This window comes from Homo sapiens, chromosome 1 (genome assembly GCF_000001405.40).
Source record: "Homo sapiens chromosome 1, GRCh38.p14 Primary Assembly".
Taxonomy (NCBI): domain Eukaryota; kingdom Metazoa; phylum Chordata; class Mammalia; order Primates; family Hominidae; genus Homo; species Homo sapiens.
Window position 1 is genome coordinate 39,122,673 of NC_000001.11, and position 20,190 is coordinate 39,142,862.

Sequence of the window (20,190 nt, forward strand, 5' to 3'; positions counted from 1 at the left end):
ATAATTACCTGTGTTGCTCAGAGACCTAAGCTGAGAGTGGGGGTGGGGAAAGGTCACACCCATTATCTTTGGAGAAATGATGAGAGTAAATAACCCATAGTTTCCAGTTTATTCCAGAAGCATTCTCGCCAGAGTCACAATGTTGAAGTGGGTTTTGAGTTAGACCTTGTTACCCCAGATCATCCAAGGTTAACATAGTTTCCTTAGATACCACAGCCATTCATTGTGAACGCTGTTAGCTTCCTCTTAGGTAGCTTTATGTAGCCTACCTTAGAAAGGAGGGTGGGGTCTGGGAGGGGAGAGGAGGGAATAGCAAAAGTAGCAGAGAAACAAAGGACTAATTAGGAGGTTCCTCAGTCATTTGGGAGTAGATCTTTTTCATTAGCTGATCACTGAGATCAAGGATGGAGGTGGTGATCCAGGAGGAGGAGGAGTTGTAGTAATCAGAAGCAGAATAGCATAACTTGGCAGTCAGTGGTGGTCCAAGGACCAGCAGCATCTGATAGCTTGTTAGATACATATATATATAAATTTTTTTTTTTTTTTTTTTTTTTTGAGAGAGTCTCGCTCTGTTGCCCAGGCTGGAGTGCAGTGGTGCGATCTTGGCTCACTGCAACCTCTATCTCCCAGGTTGAAGCGATTCTCGTGCCTCAGCCTCCTGAGTAGCTGTGACCACAGGTGCATGCCATCACACCCGGCTAATTTTTGTATTTTTAGTGGAGATGGGGTTTTACCATGTTGAACAGACTGGTCTCGAACTGCTGACCTCAGATGATCCACCCGCCTCGGCATCCCAAAGTGTTGGGATTACAGGTGTGAGCCACTGTGCCTGGCCTGAATCAATTTTAATTTTATCAAGATTCCCAGGTGATTTTTTTTTTCTTGAGGCAGAGTCTTACTCTGTCACCCAGCCTGGAGTGCAGTGGTGTGATGACAGCTCACTGCAGCCTCAATCTCCCCGGGCTCAGGTGATCCTCCCACCTCAGCCTCCCAAATAGCTGGGACTACAGGCTCGTGCCACCATGCCCGGCTAATTCTTGTTTTGTTTTTTTTTTTTTTTTTTTTGTCCGAGGCAGAGTCTTGTTCTGTCACCCAGGCTGAAGTGCAGTGGCATGATCTTGGCTCACTGCAACCTCTGCCTCCTGGGTTCAAGCAATTCTCCTGCCTCAGCCTCCTGAGTAGCTGGGGATTATAGGCGCATGCTACCATGCCTGGCTAATTTTTTTTGTATTTTTAGTGGAGATGGGGTTTCACTGTGTTGGCCAGGCTGGTCTCAAACTGGCTGGTCTCAAACTCCTGACCTCATGATCCGCCTGCCTTGGCCTCTCAAAGTGCGGGATTACAGGCGTGAGCTACTGCACCCGACCAATTCTTGTATTTTTTTTTTTTTTTTTGTAGAGATGGGGCTTTGCCATGTTGCCCAGGCTGGTCTCAAGCTCCTGAGCTCAAGTGATCCGCCCACCTTGGCCTCCCAAAGTGCTAGGATTACAGGCATGAGCCACCATGCCAGGCCCCCAGGTGGTTTTTTAATTCGATTCTGTGCCCGTTAAAGTTTGAGAAGCACCAAGTTTGTGATTAGGTGGTTAGTGCAAGGGGCTTTGGAGTTGGACAGACCTGGGATTGAAACCTGGTTTGGCCACTTACTACCTGTGTGACTTTAGATAAATTATTTGAACTCTCTGTGACAGTTTCTCATATGTGTAATAGGGGAACTCTCTATTTCATAGGGTTGTGGGGGAGAGTAAATGACATGGTGCATTTTGCAACTGACACTATCTTAGATTTAATGAAATTTAGTAATGTCTGTATCATATTAAGCACTGAGTCTAGCACAGCCTAGCATACTCAATAAGTGTTATTACTAATAATTAAATTAGGCAAATTTACAGGAATAAAGAGGCTTTCTCCTCTTCCTCTTTTTCTCTTTATCTCTCAATGAGTACGTTTGTCTGCAGTTTTATAAAGCTGTATTGTGTGTGTACACTCTTTGGTGTTTTGCCTAGCATTATTTAATGGTAGTTATAGCAGCAGCATTAACACATCTTGTACTTATTAATGTGCCAGGCATAATTTTTATGTACTTTATGCATATATTATTTCATTCAGTCCTTAGAGCAACCATGTGAAATAAATATTATCTCCATTTTCGGATGAAGAAACAGAACAAACAGGTTAAGTGACTTGCCTGAGATCACATAGCCAGTCAGTGGCAGAATCAGGATTTGAGCTGAGACACTCTTATTCCAGCATCTGTGCTCTATTTTCATGTATTGCTATTGCTCTCAAACTTATGTGGTGTGATGGAAATCAGGAAACTTTGATTGGATACTTGATTCTGCCACTAATTTATTTGTGACCTTGGTCAAGTCACTTGTCGTCTTTGGGCCTATTTCCTTATTATAAAAATGGAGGGATTATCAAACTCAAAAGCAATTAAACAAAAAAAGACAAAAAATGAAAAAAGAGTAAAACACAAAAACGGAGGGATTAGATGAGATTTGTAAAGTCTGTTCAGTGATTCATTCAACATATAGTGATTTCAAGCAAAGATTGGAAGAAAATTTTATCTAGGGAATTGGTTCAAAAGTACTTGTTCAAGCAGGTTGGTGTCATTAAGAACAAGGGGTTTGAATCTTGACTCAGCCACTTCCTGGCTATATGACCTTGGGCAACTTACTTAACCTTTCTAAACATTGATTTCCTCGTTAGTAGTGGGGAGAATAGTTCTTACCTTGCAGGGATATTGTGAGGTTTGAATAAGATAATACGTATTAGCACCTAGCATATGTGAAACATGCAGTGGATACTCAATATCCGTGAGTTGTCTTTTCTTCCTTCCATTCATTCGGGAGATGCTTAGGGAAGCAGATATACCAGATTCAAAAGGATTTAGACCCTCGCTTGGTCCTTATGTCCTTTTCTGTAATGGTATTCTCACCTTTGGGAAATGAGAATTAGTAGGGAAGGAAGTGTGCATATAGCCAGGTCCTGTCTGTTTTTAAATAATCCATCTTTTTGATTTTAGATTAAAATTTCTTTTTACAATATATAATTTAGGCCAGTAATCCCAGCACTTTGGGAGGCCTAGGTGGGCGGATCGCCTGAGGTCAGGAGTTGAAGACCGGCCTGGCCAACATTAGTGAAACCCCATCTCTACTAAAAATACAAAAATTAGCTGGGCGTGGTGGCATGCGCCTGTAATCCCAGCTACTTGGAAGGCTGAGGCAGGAGAATCGCTTTAACCCGGGAGGCGGAGGTTCCAGTGAGCTGAGATTGCGCCACTGCACTCCATCCTGGGCGACAGCGCAAGACTCTGTCTCAAACAAAACAAAGCAAACGACAGCAAAAACATATAATTTATGACAGGATAAATGCCATTTTTTTTGACCAGCTGGGCAACATAGTGAGACCCTGTCTCATAGTAATAACAATAACGAAGTACCACAAACTGGGTGGCTTAAACAACAGATATTTATTGTCTTACAGTTCTGGAGGCGAGAAGTCTGAAATCAAGTTGTCAGCAGAGTTGATTCCTTGTGAAGGCTGTGAGGGAGAACCTGTTCCATGCATCTCTTCTAGTTTCTGGTTGCCTCAGATGTTCCTTGGCTTGTAAATGATGTTCTCTCACCGCCTTCACATCTGTATATGTCTGTCTGTGTTCAAATGTCCCCTTTTTATAACACTAGTTATATTGGGTTAGAGCCTTTTCGAATGACCTCATCTTAAGTTGATCATTTGTAAAGACCCTATTTCCAGATAAAGTCACATTCACAGTCCCTGGGGTTAGGACATCTTTCTGGGGGATACAATTCATCCTATAACAAATGGTTTAGGGCCGAGCACGGTGGCTCATGCCTGTAATCCCAGCACTTTGGGAGGCCAAGGCATGTGGATCACCTGAGGTCAGTTCGAGACCAGCCTGGCCAACGTGGTGAAACCCTGTCTCTACTAAAAATACAAAAAAATTAGCTGGGCGTGGTGGTGGGTGCCTGTAATCCCAGTTACTTGGGAGGCTGAGGCAGGACAATCACTTGAGCTTGGGAGGCAGAGATTGCGGTGAGCCAAGATTGTGCCACTGCAGTCCAGCCTGGGCAACAGAGCAAGACTCTGTCTCCAAAAAAAAAACCACACAAAAAACAAACAAAAAAATCAAAACAAATGGTTTAGTCACTTTGTAACCTGGACAGAGGAGTGAACATATATGAAATTAACTTTCTTTGGTCTTTTAAGATTTATTACTAAGATTTAACTAGAGTTAAAACTTTCCTTGTCCTGTTGGCCGGGTGCCTTGGCTCAAGCCTGTAATCCCAGCCCTTTGGGAGGGTGAGGCAGGTGGATCACCTGAGGTTGGGAATTTGAGACCAACATGGCGAAACCCCGACTCTACTAAAAATAACAGAGTAGCTGGGCATGGTAGTACACGCCTGTAATCCCAGCTACTTGGGAGGCTGAGGCAGGAGAATTGCTTGAGCCCAGGAGGCAGTGATTGCAGTGAGCTGAGATCACGCCACTGCACGCCAGCCTGACAACAGAGCGAGAGACTCTATCTCAAAAAGAAAATAAAAGCTCTTCTTGTCCTGCTAATTCTGCATTTTGATTTTTGGCAGCATTTAGGAAAGAGCTGAGGTGGACCTGGTGTGTAGCGTTGGTGGGAGTTCCTTCGTTTTCTGGGCTGAATGATTTAATAATAATATAATAGTGGCTTTCATTAATTTCTTACTATGTGCCAGGAATGGACTGTGTTAAGCACTTTATATACATTAATCCACTTAATTCTCATGATAACCCTGTGAAATAGATTATCTCATTTTGCAGAGGAGAAAAGTGGGTCTCAGCCAGTGAAATAACTTGCTCAAGTTCTCTCACCCAGTAAATGGTAGAGCAGTCATTTATGTGTAGCTCTGTTGGACTTCAGAACTCCAGCTCTTAACTCAGTATATACTTTTCCTTCACTTCCTTGAATAGAACTGTTTGGCTTGAGTCTCCTTTTCTCTAAAAACTCCTAGTTCTGGAATGGTGCCAACTTAAGGGGTCAGGGAAGTGACCTTTACTTGTGTTCCTTTGAGCTGTTATTGTTTTCATTGGGAAAGAGAATGTGAAGTCAGTTCACATTTCTTACCTACTGGTTGCAGTCTTGCCATGGGGCCCTAGTCAGATGTGAGATGTTGTAAGTTACTTAAAAAAAAAAATGTCCTAGTGATTAAGAGGAAAAAACATAGGCCTGCTATGTTTATGTAACTCTCTTTTGTATTATTACAAAATTAAACATGTTCACTGTAATACATTTAAGCAGAAATTACAAAGAAAAAAGTAAAAATTCTCTTTTCTAGTCTTTATTTTCTCCACCTAGGCCCACTGGTCAGGGTAACCACTGTTCAAGCTTTGGTTTGTATCCTTACAGGTTTTTTCTTGCCAGGCTTGCTTTGGAACTGCACCTTTACATCCTTTATATTCCTTTAGGTTGGTTGTGTCTCTTCTTGACTCATGAGCCTTACCTCTTATTTATTTTTATTACCATACATCTGGCTTACATTTTTATTTTTTATTTTTTTTTTAGAGACAGGGTCTTGCTACATTGCCCAGGCTAGTGTGCAGTGGCTGTTCACAGGCACCATCATAGCACAGTGCAGCCTCAAACTCCTGGTCTTAAGCAGTGCCCCCTGAGTAGCTGAGACTACAGGACTGCACCACTGCACTGGGCTGCCTTACTTTTGAGTCTCCCTTTGATACTTAAGAGTTCTGCCATAGGGCCAGGCACGGTGGCTCACGCCTGTAATCCCAGTACTTTGGGATGCTGATGGATCACAAGGTCAGGAGATCAAGACCATCCTGGCTAGCACGGTGAAACCTCGTCTCTACTAAAAATACAAAAAAAAATTAGCCAGGCGTGGTGGCGGGCGCCTGTAGTCCTAGCTACTCGGGAGGCTAAGGCAGGAGAATGGCGTGAACCCAGGAGGTGGAGCTTGCAGTGAGCCGAGATCACGCCACTGCTCTCCAGCCTGGGTGACAGGGTGAGACTCCGTCTCAAAAAAAAAAAAAGATTTCTGCTATTGCACCCTTTTCTGTAGTCTTTCCCTCACCTCCTGGTAAAATTTTACTTACCTTTGAAGCTCAGTTCAAGTCCTCCCTTTTACATTAATCCACTGGAAAGCTAACCCATGATAACTCATTCTGCTTCATAACTCATAGCATTAATTTCTACCACTCATTTGCCAGTTGACCATGAAATGCCGTGTATCGTCACTTGTATTTTATTATTTGTTATTTAACTTATCACACATTTGCCCAGTTAGATTGTGCTGCTTGGGCTCATGGTGATTTATTCTTTCTAGTCCCAATTTTGCCTAACACAATGTCCTACATTTAGCAAGTACTCAGTAAATGTTGATGTGATTGGATTTTGTTAGTACTTCACACCCTTCTAAAGATCAGGTGCTTAGAGCCGGAAGCCTAAGGGAACACTTACCTGGCTGACATCATCTTGGCTGCCTGTCAAGATGGGGTGTGTGCCTGAGAGAACTGCCCGTAAATGAAATACTTGTGCAACAGGTTATGTTTTCTCCTTTAGTGGGTGGGATTCAAGACTTCACATTGGGAAAAAGAGATAGTAAGTGTAGGAAGAGGGCTGAAAAGGGGATGGATGGGAGGATGCTACCTTGTGAGAGGTGGGGATATGGCTTTATTAAAAACATAAATATTAAAGGCTGGCGTATTGCAGAGAGAAGCTTCTTGGAACCAGCAGGCTAATTAGGCAAACTGGCTTCTCTGGTGCAAACCAGTTGTTAATTGCCATTTATTTTCTTTGCTATAAAACTGTACCAGCCATCTACTTACTTTCTCATTAGAGTGAATCTGGAGAAAAGGCTTAGGTTAGATTTAGGAAATCCAGGAGAAAAATGCAGGACAGTCAGAGTAAGACCAGGGATGGGCATAATCCTTTCTCTCACTTGTCTTACCAGCCCTAGACCTTAAGGGTGGCCAGGACCTCCTTGCATTTGCCAGTAGAGGTTGCTATTGAAGTAGTGTAAAACCTCTTGTTTCTATTCCTGCTAACTCCTTTTGCCCCATCTTATTTTTCTCCTTCACTGACACCCTCCTATCACACACACATTATTGGTTAGTTATCATTCCCATCTCTGAGGTTCACATATGCAGTGGACCACCCTGCCTTTAGCTGTCCAGACTTTGACTGCAACCTGTCTTTCTATTCCACTCCTCCTCCCCTCCCCCAAATGATTTGAAATGGAGAGGAAAGGAAATGGAGTTTGATGGTTTTAACTCTTCTGTGGCTGTGGCTTAGGGAGCAGAATGTTTTGATTGCTTGATTTAGGGGTCTTGAGGTCTCCTAATACAATATTCTTTTTGTTAATAGAAAGGCCCCACTCCATTTTTTTTTTCTCTGAGTATTTTGGACTCAAAGTCTTGTGTTGAAATGTCGGTACCTGCCCCCGAAGGGGAAAAGATCCCTTTCAGAGTTTATTTTTCCCCCCCATTCATGGGGAATTCTTCTCATTATCAGAAGATGAAGATTACTGGTCCTTTGAACAGAGTATAAATATAGCCAACACCCTAATATATTTCTAATGATTGGGCTTTAGCTTTAAAAACATTAGGCTAGATGCCTCCCTATTTTTTGTGGCATGATTTAGCTGTAACTAGCCTGGAGGCAATAACAATACTAAATGACCTTTTGTAGTCACATTAAACATTGAAATGGTACTGAGACTGCCTTGGTGGGGAGTTTTGGCCTATGGGAATGATGTGAGTTTTGGTTTCTACTCCTTTCTCTGTTTTCAGATAAATCCTCCTACATGTCCCATTCTCTGGCTCTGGGAAGTACTGACAGTAGGGAAAAGTTAGTACACTCATCTCATTGTTCAGATCAAGTTTCCTGGGTGCGGTTTTGCAGAACTTCCTACAAGAGCTGACTCAAGAGTTCTCTTCTATTGTGGAGATGTTCCTGCTCTTATATGTCATACTAATTTATATCCTTGAAATTTTGAGCAGCATCATTTGGATGTGTTAAGTTGGGAATGAAGAAAGTGAAAATATTTTCAGAGATTCCTTGAGAAAAGGGTTCCTTTTGCTGGGTAAATCAACGTTCCCTAGATGCTGTGGCTAAGAAGTGAAGAATTCTAAGCCAACTTTTTTTTACCCCTTTTCTTTTCTTTACTTTTTTTTTTTTCGAGATGGAGTTTGCTCTTGTTGCCCAAGGCTGGAGTGCAATGGTGTGATCTCGGCTCACTGCAACCTCCGCCTCCCGGGTTCAAGCAATTCTCCTGCCTCAGCCTCCCGAGGAGCTGGGATTACAGGCATTACAGACGTGTGCCACCATGCCTGGCTAATTTTTTGCATTTCCAGTAGAAACGGGGTTTCACCATGTTAGCCAGGCTGGTCTCTAACTCCTGACCTCAGGTGAACCACCCACCTCAGCCTCCCAAAGTGCTGGGATTACAGGTGTGAGCCACTGCGCCCGGCCTTTTTTTTTTTTTTTTTTTTTTTTTTTTAAGAGACAGAGTCTTGTTCTTTCACCCAGGCTGGGGTGCAGTGACATGATCATAACTCACTGTAACCTTGAACTCCTGGGCTAAAGCGATCCTCCTGCCTCCATCTCCTGAGTAAGCTAGGAATACAGGCACATGCCATCATGCCCAGCTCAGTTTTATTATTTTTTTTTTTTTTGTAGAGACAGGGTCTCACTATGTTGCCAAGGCTGGTCTTGAACTCCTGGCCTCAAGCTATCCTCCCACCTAAGCCTCCCAAAGTGTTGGATTATAGGTGTGAGACACCTTGTCCAGCACCTGTTTTTCCTTTTTGATGTCAGATCCCTCTGAATAACAAGTTATTTGCCTTTTTTTCCCTCCATAAGACTGTGAGCACCTTGAGAGCTGCGAGAACATCTCACTTATCTTTGTATCTCTGATGTTTAGGACAGTGTCCAGCTCAAAGTGTCTATAAATGTATGTTGCATTGAATAGTGGAGGGAAGCTTTAAATACATTTACTGCAGACAGATGTATGCTTAGCATATTTAATTGGGAGACATTATTAGAAAGTGGAGATGGATAAAGAAAGGAATTTTTGTGGATATGATATAGAGAATTTTTGTTTCCTAAGGATTTAAAATTTTTGTTTGTTTATTTATTTGTTTATTTTTTAGAGATGGGGTCTTGCAGTGTTGCCTAGGCTTGTCTTGAACTGCTGCCTTCAAGTGATCCTCCTGCCTCAGCCTCCTGAGTATGTGGAATTACAGGCATGAGCCACTGCACCCAACTTGCCTAACAATTTTTAGAGTAACAGTTATTTTGCGGTTCCTTTACGTGGAGAACCTTTAGAAGTGTTCCATCTGACTACCTTGGACAAGGCACTGTGACCTTCTTTGTAGCAGAGACTAAAGACACCTGCCCATTTCCCTCAAATGGAGGGATATCCCTCAGTAAAGGAAGGAGCTCAGAATTAGATTGGGGGTAGAGAAAGGAAGCATTGAGTCCCTCCTAGCCCTGCACTGTGGAAATGTAAAGCTATTATTATGATAATTGCTGTTGGCAAACAAGAAAATTCTCAGCCTCTGGTTTGTACCTACACCCAGTCACAACCTCAGGTTGGGTGGATGCAGACTTTAAATATTGGGGTCACCTGTAGCTGTTGGAAAAGGTCCCTGTGGTTTCTCTGGGTGTTGTGCAAGCATTACTTTTTTGGCTCTTTTCCCTGTATCCATCAGTAAAAAGTAGGAAGTTTGAGGAGCTGTGCTTTCGGTTGGCATTAGGCATTGGAGTGCCTTTATTTCCTACATTTAACTGGTAAATATCCAACACTCCATAACAGGATGGCCCTGCTTGGAAATTCTTACCTAGGGAGTGACTGAAGCCTAAGAGGAACTGCACAGCCCCCTGTATTGAAAACGGAGTAGTCATTTCCTAGAGCATGGCTTGGATCCTGATCAGCTGATTTCCTGTCTCTACAGGGATGTGATGTGATTCCTCCCCCTTCCTTCTGGAAGAAATGGATATTTTTTTTCATTTCCTGTTTGATAGCATATTTTCTGAGTACCAGGAGACACTTGATGACTATAAAACATTTGATGTGTGGGGGGTGGGAAGGAAGGAGGCTTTTGTTTTCAGCAGAATGGCTTTCATTTGAGGAATTCAAAGCACATACATGAACCCAAGCTGTTTTGTTCCCATGGGAGAGACACAGGCTCTAAGAAGATTGTTTCGAATCCCTTTCCTGGGCTGTGTCTACTTGACCTGCACTGGTAGAGCCCCTTCTCCCCCATAGGTTAGAAAAGCTCGGTCCCTCATGGAGCTCTGCATGCTGTGGATTCTGCTCTTGCCACATCCGCTACTCAGCCCTTTTTGTGCCTAAATCCGCTGGAGAGCAACTATTAGTCCCTGGGGGAAGTGACACCACCCTTGGAATGGAACCTGGCTGGATGCCCCTTGATCCCTGACTGAGTGACACAGACTGGGACAGGAATCTGGCTGTCCAGATTTCCTGTCCTCTGTCCTCACTAGCCGACTTGGCTGCTTCCACCCTGGGGCTGGGGGTATGGGGTGTGGTGGGAGCTGGTTGCTAACAAGCAGCGCCGCCTGTGGACCTGCACAGCCACTTGTTTTCCTAGCCAAGAGCTACCCGTCCAGTCTGGCCTGTTCCTGATCCATCTGGAGTGAGAGCAGAGACCTGGAAGAGAGATCAGTGGGGAGGCAGTCATTGTGATCCCTTTTGTTTGTAGTGAAGCTTTGCTTAGTGTTTGAGGGCCTGGGGTTTAATTTTGTAACAGACTCTTACTATAGTTGTGTGTGTTTAACTATAAGATTTTCTTTTCTTCTCTTTTCTCCTTCCTCGTCCTCCTCCTCATCCTTTCTCCTCCTCCTCCTCCTCCTTCTTCCTGTCTGTTTTTATTTTTCCCAACTTTATAAAGGTATAATTGATATATAAAAATTGTATATCTTTATGGTGTACAATGTGATGTTTTGATATATGTAAACATTGTGGAATGATTAAATCAAGCTAGTTAACATCTGTCACTTCACATAGTTTTGTGTGATGAGAATATTTAAGATTTACTACTTCCAGAATTTTCAAGTACGATACATTGTTTGCTGTACAATACATCTCCAGAACTTATTCATTTTTTCTAGAGTTGCTTTTTCTTAAATAAATTATTAGGTTTCTTCTTGACCTTGAAGAAGTCCAGAAAAATTCTTACAAAATAGGGAATTGCATGGTAGGTAGGTTATGAGAAGTTTCATTTTTGGGTTTTGTGAATACTACGAACAGCTTTTCCTAGTTTGCTAGGGATTTGCGTGGCCAGGTATTTGCTGCATTTAAAGTTCTTAGATATTATCATCAGAAGAACAGTCTTTTTTTTTTTTTTTTTTTTTTTTGAGATGGGGTCTCGCTCTGTCCGCCAGGCTAGAGTGCAGTGGCGGGATCTCAGCTCACTGCAAGCTCCGCCTCCCGGGTTCATGCCATTCTCTTGCCTCAGCCTCCCGAGTAGCTGGGACTACAGGCGCCCGCCACCACGCCCGGCTAATTTTTTTTTTTTGTATTTTTAGTAGAGACGGGGTTTCACTGTGTTAGCCAGGATGGTTTCGATCTCCTGACCTCGTGATCCGCCCACCTCGGCCTCCCAAAGTGCTGGGATTACAGGCATGAGCTACCGCACCCGGCCAGAAGAACAGTCTTAACAAGAATAAGTGGAATCAGGGAGCATGCCTCTAACATTTAACAGTACATTCTTCCTTTTACCTCTGTTGTTGACCATGTGCCTTCTTGCTCCAGGGGTTTTCAGTTTTCTTTTATTTTGTTGTATCAGATACATTTTCCCTCTAGGGTAGAAAGCAGCATCTTACAGTGGAAAGGAACCCTGGCTTTGGGTCTTACTGGCTCTGTGGTCTTAAACAGTCATGTAACCCCTTTCAACTGTGTGCTTTTCCTAATTCCCCATTTGTAAAATATTGGTGGTGATAACCATCTTGCAGGGTTTTTGTAAAGGTTAAATGAGTTAATATACGTAAAACACATTGGTTGGCACATAGTATGTAATTGTAGCTTGTTTTTTATTAGTAGGAGTCATAATAACAATACGCTTGATTTTTTTATGATAAAATACACTAATATAACATTTAGCATTTTAGCCATCTGTAAGGGTAAATATAGTGGCATCAAGTACATTCACTTGATTGTTGTGCAGCCGTCACTATTATCTATCTCTAGAACTTTTTCATCTTCTCAAACTAAAATTCCAAACCCATTAAACAATAACTCACCTTCCCCCTCCTTAGCCCCTGGCAACCACAATTCTACTTTCTGTTTCTATGCATTTGACTACTCTATGTACTTCATATAAGTGGAATCATACAGTATTTGTCCTTTTGTGTCTGGCTCATTTCATGTAGCATAATGTCCTCAAGGTTCATTCATGTTGTAGCATGTGCCAGAATTTCCTTCCTTTTTAAGGCTAAATAATATTCCATTTATGTATCTACCACATTTTATTTATCCATTCATCTGTTGATGGATACTTGGCTTGCTAATAATATGATTATTTTTGGGTTTTTTTGACATCTTATTTAATTAATTAATTTATTTAGACAGCGTCTTGCTCTGTTGCCCAGGCTGGAGTGCAATGGTGCGATTTCCGCTCACTGTAATCTCCGCCTCCTGGGTTCAAGTGATTCTCCTGCCTCAGCCTTCCGAGTAGCTGGGATTACAGGTGCATGCTACCATGCCTGACTAATTTTTGTATTTTTTTAGTAGAGATGGGGTTTCACCATGTTGGCCAGGCTGATCTCGAACTCTTGATCACCTGTTTCGGCCTCCCTAAGTGCTAGGATTACAGATGTGAGCCACTGCGTCCGGCCAGATTATTTTTAATAGTAATGAATTGATTGTCTAAGGTGCGTTCAAAGGCTTCAAAGCTGGGGAGAAGAGGATGAAGTAGAACAATATCCTTGTTTGTGTGTTGACTTTGTCTCTCTGGGTTTTGCTTGCAAGACCTATTTTGATAGGAGTCTGATGAATGATGGACCTACTGAACCCTATACAGAGGGTCCAGACCTGGCAGAATTCTAGGAAAAAAAAATTGCCTCCTAGTCTAATTTTTCTCAGTGATAAACTACTCTGTGTGCTTACAGTTTGTCTATCTTGCTTCTCTCCCTCTCTCCTTTGCTCCTACTATGAATGGGATTCTTGGAATGGTGACATATCTAGACTCTTGGATTGTTTTGCAGAGGTCGAAGGCTGAGAGAGAATTGCTATATAGCTGAGGGGTGATGAGTACAGCGAACGGCCAACTGTGTGCCAACCTGGCTTTCCAGGGCAGTATTTTTAGGATATATGTACCTATATGTGTACACACATATCTCTACACACACATACATACATATGTACACACACACAAATATCCCATTATTGACACTTGACACAGTAAGGGAGCTACATGTTCTTCTCTGGGTTCCCCTCAATGCAGCCCACCACCAGAATGCATGCATTGGAAACGGGTCCAGGATAATGTGAGAGGTCTCCAAGGAGTTCCAAGTATAAAGAGCCTTAGCAGAAGGGCCTTGACAGCTTAGACAGTCTCTTACAATGTCTACCAAAATTCTGAAGAAAGACTGCTATCCAGCTGTGATTTTTCTGCCTTCCAGGTTAGACCTGAAAAAGTCCAGGAGCCTAGCTTCTGTGTCCTGTGCTTATGCTGGACATGGGTGGAGGGTGAGGAGAGGCAGTAGTCCCTCCAAACCCTTGTATCTCCAACTGTGGATTCTCCTGTTTGTTTATAGGGTGGAAGGCGTGGTTTATACTGGTTTGTCCCCAGTTCCTGCTCTGTGCCTGAGGGGACTGCAGTGGCATTAGGATTTTTTGCCCAGTTGCTCATGGACATAGAGACACGTCACCTCAGTGCACCCCCCTGTGCAAATTGGCCTACCCTCATATTACCTGCTTTTGTACCTCCAATGCCTAGAGACCAGTTGTCTCTCAGAAGCTACTCAGGATGATTTTATGCTGTCAGCATAATAAAAGTGAATTAATTCTATATTAAATTAATAAAGACCATATTTAGTATTAGTCAACTAAGGTTGTATATGTACATATTACTAAAGAAAAATGAATTTTAAAAAAGAATCTATTTTAGAGAAACAGATTAAATATGAACGACAGTAGGGGGCACTTGTATGACAGTAGAATAAAGACAAGCGTGAGAGTGTTCAGTTTGAAATTTGAAGTTTAACTTTTACTTGTTTCTTGGAAGTTCATGTTTTTTCCTCATGCAACTTTCTGCAAAACTGAAGGTTGGATTTTAAATATAAAATATTTGACATGACCAAGTTATATTTACCCTTTGTCAACTAAAAATTGACTTTTTTCAAAGTTTGTTATTTTTTTAATTTAATTTAATTTAATTTTATTTTGAGACAGAGCCCCCTCTGTTGCCCACGTTGGAATGCAGTGGTGCGATCTTGGCTCACTGCAACCACCACCTCCCAGGTTCAAGAGATTCTCATGCCTCAGCCTCCTGAGTAACTGCAATTACAGATGTACACCACCACGCCTGGCTGATTTTTGTATTTTTGTTAGAAACAGGGTTTTGCCATGTTGGCCAGGCTGGTCTCGAACTTCTGGCCTCAAGTGATCTGTGTGCCTCGGCCTCTCAAAGTGTTGGGATTACAGGCGTGAGCCACCATACCCAGTCTTTTTTTATTTTTTTAAAGACAGGTTCTTGCTCTGTCGCACAGAGTGGAGTGCAGTGGCACAATCATAGCTCACTGTAACGTGTCTACCAGGCTCAACAGATCCTCCCACCTCAGTTTCTCAAGTATCTGAGACTACAGGCATGTGCCATTACACCTGGCTAATTTTTAAATTTTTTGTAAAGACGAAGTCTCATTTTATTGCCCAGGCTGGTCTCAAACTCCTGGGCTCAAGCCATCCTTCTGCCCTGGCCTCCCAAAGAGCTGGGATTATAGGCATGAGCCACTGTGCCCCAATTTATTTATTTTTTATTTTTTTACCTTCAGATGCTCTTTGGCAAGCAAGTAAGGATTGCTCAATTAAAAGTATTGCATTATCTCATTCAACTATATGAACATACAAAACTTAAAAAAATTTGTCTGAGGCCAGGCGTGGTGGGTCATGCCTGTATTCCCAGCACTTTGGGAAGCCGAGGCAGGTGGATCACCTGAGGTCGCGAGTTTGAGACCAGCCTGGCCAACATGGAGAAACCCCATCTCTACTAAAAATACAGAAATTAGCCGGGCATGGTAGCACGAGCCTATAATCCCAGCTACTAGGGAGGCTGAGGCAGGAGGATTGCTTGATCCTGGGAGGCGGAGGTTGCAGTTAGCCGAGATTGTGCCACTGCACTCCAGCCTGGGTAACAGTCGAGACTCCATCTCAAAAAAAAAAAAAAAAAAAAAAAGTCTGAAACAGTATTGGAAGCTTTAATTTCTATTTCAACAAATTTGTGCTACTCTGGATTATGTGCTACCTGTCACTCAAGGATCTTGTTGAAATACTTTCTTGTACAAAAACAACGAATCAAAACAAAACAAAACAAAAATGAGTGTACTTCATGTTGTATTTGAGTAGAGGTCCTAACAAACACTTGAAAAATGGCTGGTGGTAGGCTGGACGCGGTGGCTCACGCCTGTAATCCCAGCACTTTGGGAGGCCGAGGTGGGCAGATCACAAGGTCAGGAGATCGAGACTACCCTGGCTAACATGGTGAAAACCTGTCTCTACCAAAAATACAAAAAAAATTAGCCGGGCATGGTGGCGGGTGCCTGTAGTCCCAGCTACTCTGGAGGCTGAGGTGGGAGAATGGCGTGAACCTGGGAGGCGGAGCTTGCAGTGAGCAGAGATCGCGCCACTGCACTCCAGCCTAGGCGACAGAGAGAGACTCTGTCTCAAAAAAAAAGAAAAATGGCTGGTGTTAGATGAACACAGCTTTCTCTCATTTCAATAATGATATTGAAAGGTTTTAAAGGCCAAATAATTTTTTTTTTGGAGACAGAGTCTTGCTCTGTCACCCACGCTGTAGTGCAATGGCGCAATCTCAGCTCACTGCAACCTCCGCCTCCCAGGTTCAAGTGATTCTCCTGCCTCAGCCTCCTGAGTAGCTGGGATTACAGGTGAGTGCCACCATGCCCGGCTAATTTTTGTATTTTTAGTAGAGATGGGGTTTTACCATGTTGGCCAGGCTGGTCTCGAACTCCTGACCTCAGGTGATCCACCCACCTTGGCCTCCCAAAGTGCTGGGATTACAGGCGTAAGCCACCGCGCCTGGCCTAGGCCAAATAATTTTTATGAACTGTCTGGAGAAGCTTTGATGAGGAATAACAGTATCATTTTCAAATTGGCTTCTGCACAAACTACGTAATTTTGAGTATTCCATGTTAATGCATATGATGTAGCTGGCTCTTAATCACCCTATGAAAATGGAGTACAAGGCATGCTGAATACTTCAAATTCACAGATAACTACTAAAACTAATTTTAATCAACTGTCTCGTCATTTATTCCTACTTGAATTACCAAAGATGCTTGCTTATGGGGGGAAATTGAACAGATTTTTTTTCCTCTTGTTTACCCTTTACCTTTTTTAAAATGTTATCTGCCACTGTTTTTTTTTTTTTTCAGACAGTCTCGCTCTGTCGCTGCAACCTCTGCCTTCCAGGTTCAAGCGATTCTCCTGCCTCAGCATCCCAAGTAACTGGGATTACAGGTGTCCCCTACCACGTCCAGCTAATTTTTGTATTTTTAGTAGAGATGGGGTTTCACCATGTTGGCCAGGCTGGTCTCAAATTCCTGACCTCAAGTGATCCTCCCATCTCAGCCTCCCAAATTTGCCACTATTCTTTATATTCCAGCTAAAATGAACTAGTGCTTTCTGCTTTTTTTTTTCCTAGCTTTCCTGCTTTCATGCCTTTGCTCATGCTGTATCCTGTGCCTGCATTTTCCTTTAATTTCTACATTATATTTGGTCCTTACATATCCATCTCAAATGTTACTTTTTGTGGATCCTTCCCTGATTATCTCAGATACAAGTTATATCATCTTTCTGAACTGACATAATATTATTGAAAGAAATACACTTAAAAGTAATAGTAATAACTGACAACATTCAGAGTCTGTTACAAAATGTTTTCACATGTATTAGCTCATTGGAACCTCACAGATGTTTTTCATCACTCCTGTTTTACAGCTGAGGAAATTAAGGCTTAAGGAGATTAAGTAACTTGCCTGAGGTTACCCATAATTAGAACTAAATCTTTTTTTTTTTTTTTAATTTTTTTTAGAGACAAGGTCTTGGCTGTTGCACAGGCTGCAGTGCAGTGGTGTAAACATGGCTCACAGCAGCCTCAAACTCCTGGGCTCAAGAGATTGTCCCACTCCAGCCTCCTGAGTAGCTAGGACTATAGGTGTATGCCACTACACCCAGCTAAATTTTTGTGTTTTTTGTAGAGATGGGGTCTCACTGTGTTGCCCAGGCTGGTCTTGAACTCCTGACCTGAAATGATCCTTCTGCGTTAGTCCTCCAAAGTGCTGGGATTACGGGCATGAGCCATCATACCTAGCATAAATCTAAATCTTATGACCTCAAATCCCATGTTTTTTCCACCAAACAGTGCTATCTTACGATTCTTATCACTTGCTACTATGGGTTAGAATTACTTGTGTAAATGTCACATCTGGCCTACTACTTTGTACTGTCCTTAGATGAAGAGTTAATGCCTTATTCTTTGTCTCTGACATCCCATAGCACAGAGTATTGCGTATAATAAGGCTTCAATAACCATTGCTGAAAGGCTGACAAGTTGAAGAAATGTTGATGAATGCATGTGTCTAGCACAGTGCCTCGCACATAGATGCCTAATAAACATTTATTGAATTTAATTGTAAAATGGATCAAAGACCATAGTTAATAAGAGCTTATAGGGCACTTAATAAGTGCCGGGCAACTGGGCACGGTGGCTCACGCCTGTGATCCCTGCACTTTGGGAGGCTGAGGCAGGCGGATCACGAGGTCAGGAGATCAAGACTATCCTGGCCAACATGGTGAAACCCCGTCTCTACTAAAAATACGAAAATTAGCAGGGCTTGGTGGCACACGTCTGTAATCCCAGCTACTTGGGAGGCTGAAGCAGGAGAATCTCTTGAACCCAGGAGGCGGAGGTTGCAGTGAGCCGAGATTGCACCACTGCACTCCAGCCTGGGTGACAGAGTGAGACTCTGTCTCAAAAAAAAAAAAAAAAAAAAAAAAAAAAAGTGCCAGTCACTGTTATAAATGCTTTATGTCAAATTAACTAATTTAATCCTTAGAACCTATCTCCATTTTACACTGGAGTAAACTGAAGAACAGGAGGGCATAGTGATTTGCCCAGGGACACACAGCTGTTAAGCAGCAGAGTTAGGTTTCACAATTTGCTCTAGAATTCTCATGTACTCAAACATTATGCTATAATCAGTTGTTCATAATATTTTCACGCTGTTAAATTCCTCCTGAATGCCTGTCTGTCTTGGGTGTAGCTCAAAGAATGAAAAGCAGAAGCAGCATAACTTGTTGAATATACTCTTGAGCCTGCGTCAGAATCACCTGCAGGGCATGTTAAAACACAGATTGCTGGGTCCCATCCTCAGTTCTGATTCAGTAGGTCTGGGGTGGGGCTTGAGAAATTATATTTCTAACAAGTTCCCAGGAGATGCTGATGCTGCTGGTCTGGGGACCACTTGGTGTAGCATATAGGTGTTAAGAGCATGGACTCAAGCTGCTGAGGTTTGAATCTCAGCTCTGCCATTTATTAACTGAACTTGGGCAAGTTCTTGAACCTTTCTGTGCTTCAGTTCTCATCTGTAAAGTGTTTTACTGTTACCACATATATCATAGGATTCTGACGGAGATTGAATGAAATAACATGTAAAGTGCTTAAAATGGTGCTTGGTTTGTAGTAAGCATGCAGTCTTAGCTACAGTAATGGGGATAGGACATGTTTCTTGCCTTGTAGATTTTAGAGTCTAGTTATTAGACTTAAATCTAATAATTTTAAAAAGTACAAATTCAGGTATTAGTTTACATGGTTCTGATTCTACCTTAGATTTGGAAAGATGAAATGCGTGTATCTTGGGGGATATGGTGGGTAGTGGGAGACCAGGAGGAGGAAAGGTACATGAAACTAGAAGATAATGGAAAGTTATATAGTCAGAATTTAGAAAGGTTGGAATTGCCAGTGGTTTTGGTATTATTACCTGAGAACTTGAGGGAGATAGAGGAAGGTGCCTGTGCTCTCTGTTTGCCAAAGAGATAACTGACTCCTTTTCCCATTTCTCTTTCTTAGAGCTGGTATCTGGTCTGCAGGCAGTTCCGGCAGCATTTGCTTTTTGTGGGGAACAGTGGCTAAGGAAGTGATTTGCTACTGGCTTCAGAAGTTGGGCTCTGCTGCCTTTATCCTCCACAGCTGCCTCACATAGTTTTGATTCTTCCTGAGAAAGGCAGTTGTTAGGTTTGGAAGTCTTCAGATTCCAGAGACAGCTGGACAGCTGACCCTCTGGTAGCTATTTCCCAAACTGCCAGCCTCCTGTTGCCTCATCTCCCTGGGCCCCTTCTTTTTTGCTTTGAAGCAATATCCTATATTTAGTGAACTAACCAATTTGAGGTTAGAGGAAATTTGATGGGGGAGTCTCTCCCACCTTAAAATCCTGGATGGATGGAGTATTTGGGCCCAGGAACAAGATGTATCCTGTTAAAAAAAATTTAACACCTTCATCAAGTATACTCCAAATGACAGCTTACAGTGCTATGAATGTACCTCTAGCTCATGGGTAAGGAGCAGTGTTTATTTTTGGGTGCCCTGAAGAAAATATTTGGGGGAAGGAGTGGGGAGAAGCTCAGGCAGCTCCATTTATGGTTGAGCAATGCTTGGTATTCTACAGAAGGGACCATATGGACAGTGGAAGAGAGTTTAGCATTCTGATTGTTCACCTCTTGCTCCTTCCATTCTGATGGCTAATTAGGGACACCTCATTAGCTATCAGAGTGGAACAAGTATTTGCCAGGCTGACATGAGCCTCAGCCCTGCATCCTGCATCTTCTGCTTTCCCAACCTGCTGAGTCACCACCTAGGAATGGCAGTAGCCAGGTTACCACCTGGAGCACCTGGAGCACTCTTGGCATAATGCACTGTTGACTG

The 20,190-nt window shown here is 42.7% G+C and overlaps 1 protein-coding gene across 1 annotated transcript in view, besides 5 other annotated features; it reads left to right on the plus strand.

Moving 5' to 3' along the window:
• Positions 1-20,190, plus strand: part of MACF1 (microtubule actin crosslinking factor 1) — a 402,972-nt gene that overhangs the window by 38,506 nt on the left and 344,276 nt on the right. The gene's annotated exons all lie outside the window — the stretch shown is intronic.
• Positions 10,445-10,739: an enhancer, noted in NCBI's record as "tiled region #301; K562 Activating non-DNase unmatched - State 12:CtcfO". NCBI's record gives its function as "activates a minimal TATA promoter and a strong SV40 promoter by Sharpr-MPRA in K562 cells {active_cell/tissue: K562}" and the evidence as "EXISTENCE:reporter gene assay evidence [ECO:0000049][PMID:27701403]".
• Positions 11,225-11,992: an enhancer, noted in NCBI's record as "H3K4me1 hESC enhancer chr1:39599569-39600336 (GRCh37/hg19 assembly coordinates)". NCBI's record gives its function as "activates a minimal SCP1, AML or CMV promoter by ChIP-STARR-seq in primed H9 embryonic stem cells {active_cell/tissue: H9 hESC(primed)}" and the evidence as "EXISTENCE:reporter gene assay evidence [ECO:0000049][PMID:30033119]".
• Positions 17,478-18,302: an enhancer, noted in NCBI's record as "H3K27ac hESC enhancer chr1:39605822-39606646 (GRCh37/hg19 assembly coordinates)". NCBI's record gives its function as "activates a minimal SCP1, AML or CMV promoter by ChIP-STARR-seq in naive H9 embryonic stem cells {active_cell/tissue: H9 hESC(naive)}" and the evidence as "EXISTENCE:reporter gene assay evidence [ECO:0000049][PMID:30033119]".
• Positions 18,303-19,126: an enhancer, noted in NCBI's record as "H3K27ac hESC enhancer chr1:39606647-39607470 (GRCh37/hg19 assembly coordinates)". NCBI's record gives its function as "activates a minimal SCP1, AML or CMV promoter by ChIP-STARR-seq in naive H9 embryonic stem cells {active_cell/tissue: H9 hESC(naive)}" and the evidence as "EXISTENCE:reporter gene assay evidence [ECO:0000049][PMID:30033119]".
• Positions 19,211-19,950: an enhancer, noted in NCBI's record as "OCT4-NANOG-H3K27ac hESC enhancer chr1:39607555-39608294 (GRCh37/hg19 assembly coordinates)". NCBI's record gives its function as "activates a minimal SCP1, AML or CMV promoter by ChIP-STARR-seq in primed H9 embryonic stem cells {active_cell/tissue: H9 hESC(primed)}" and the evidence as "EXISTENCE:reporter gene assay evidence [ECO:0000049][PMID:30033119]".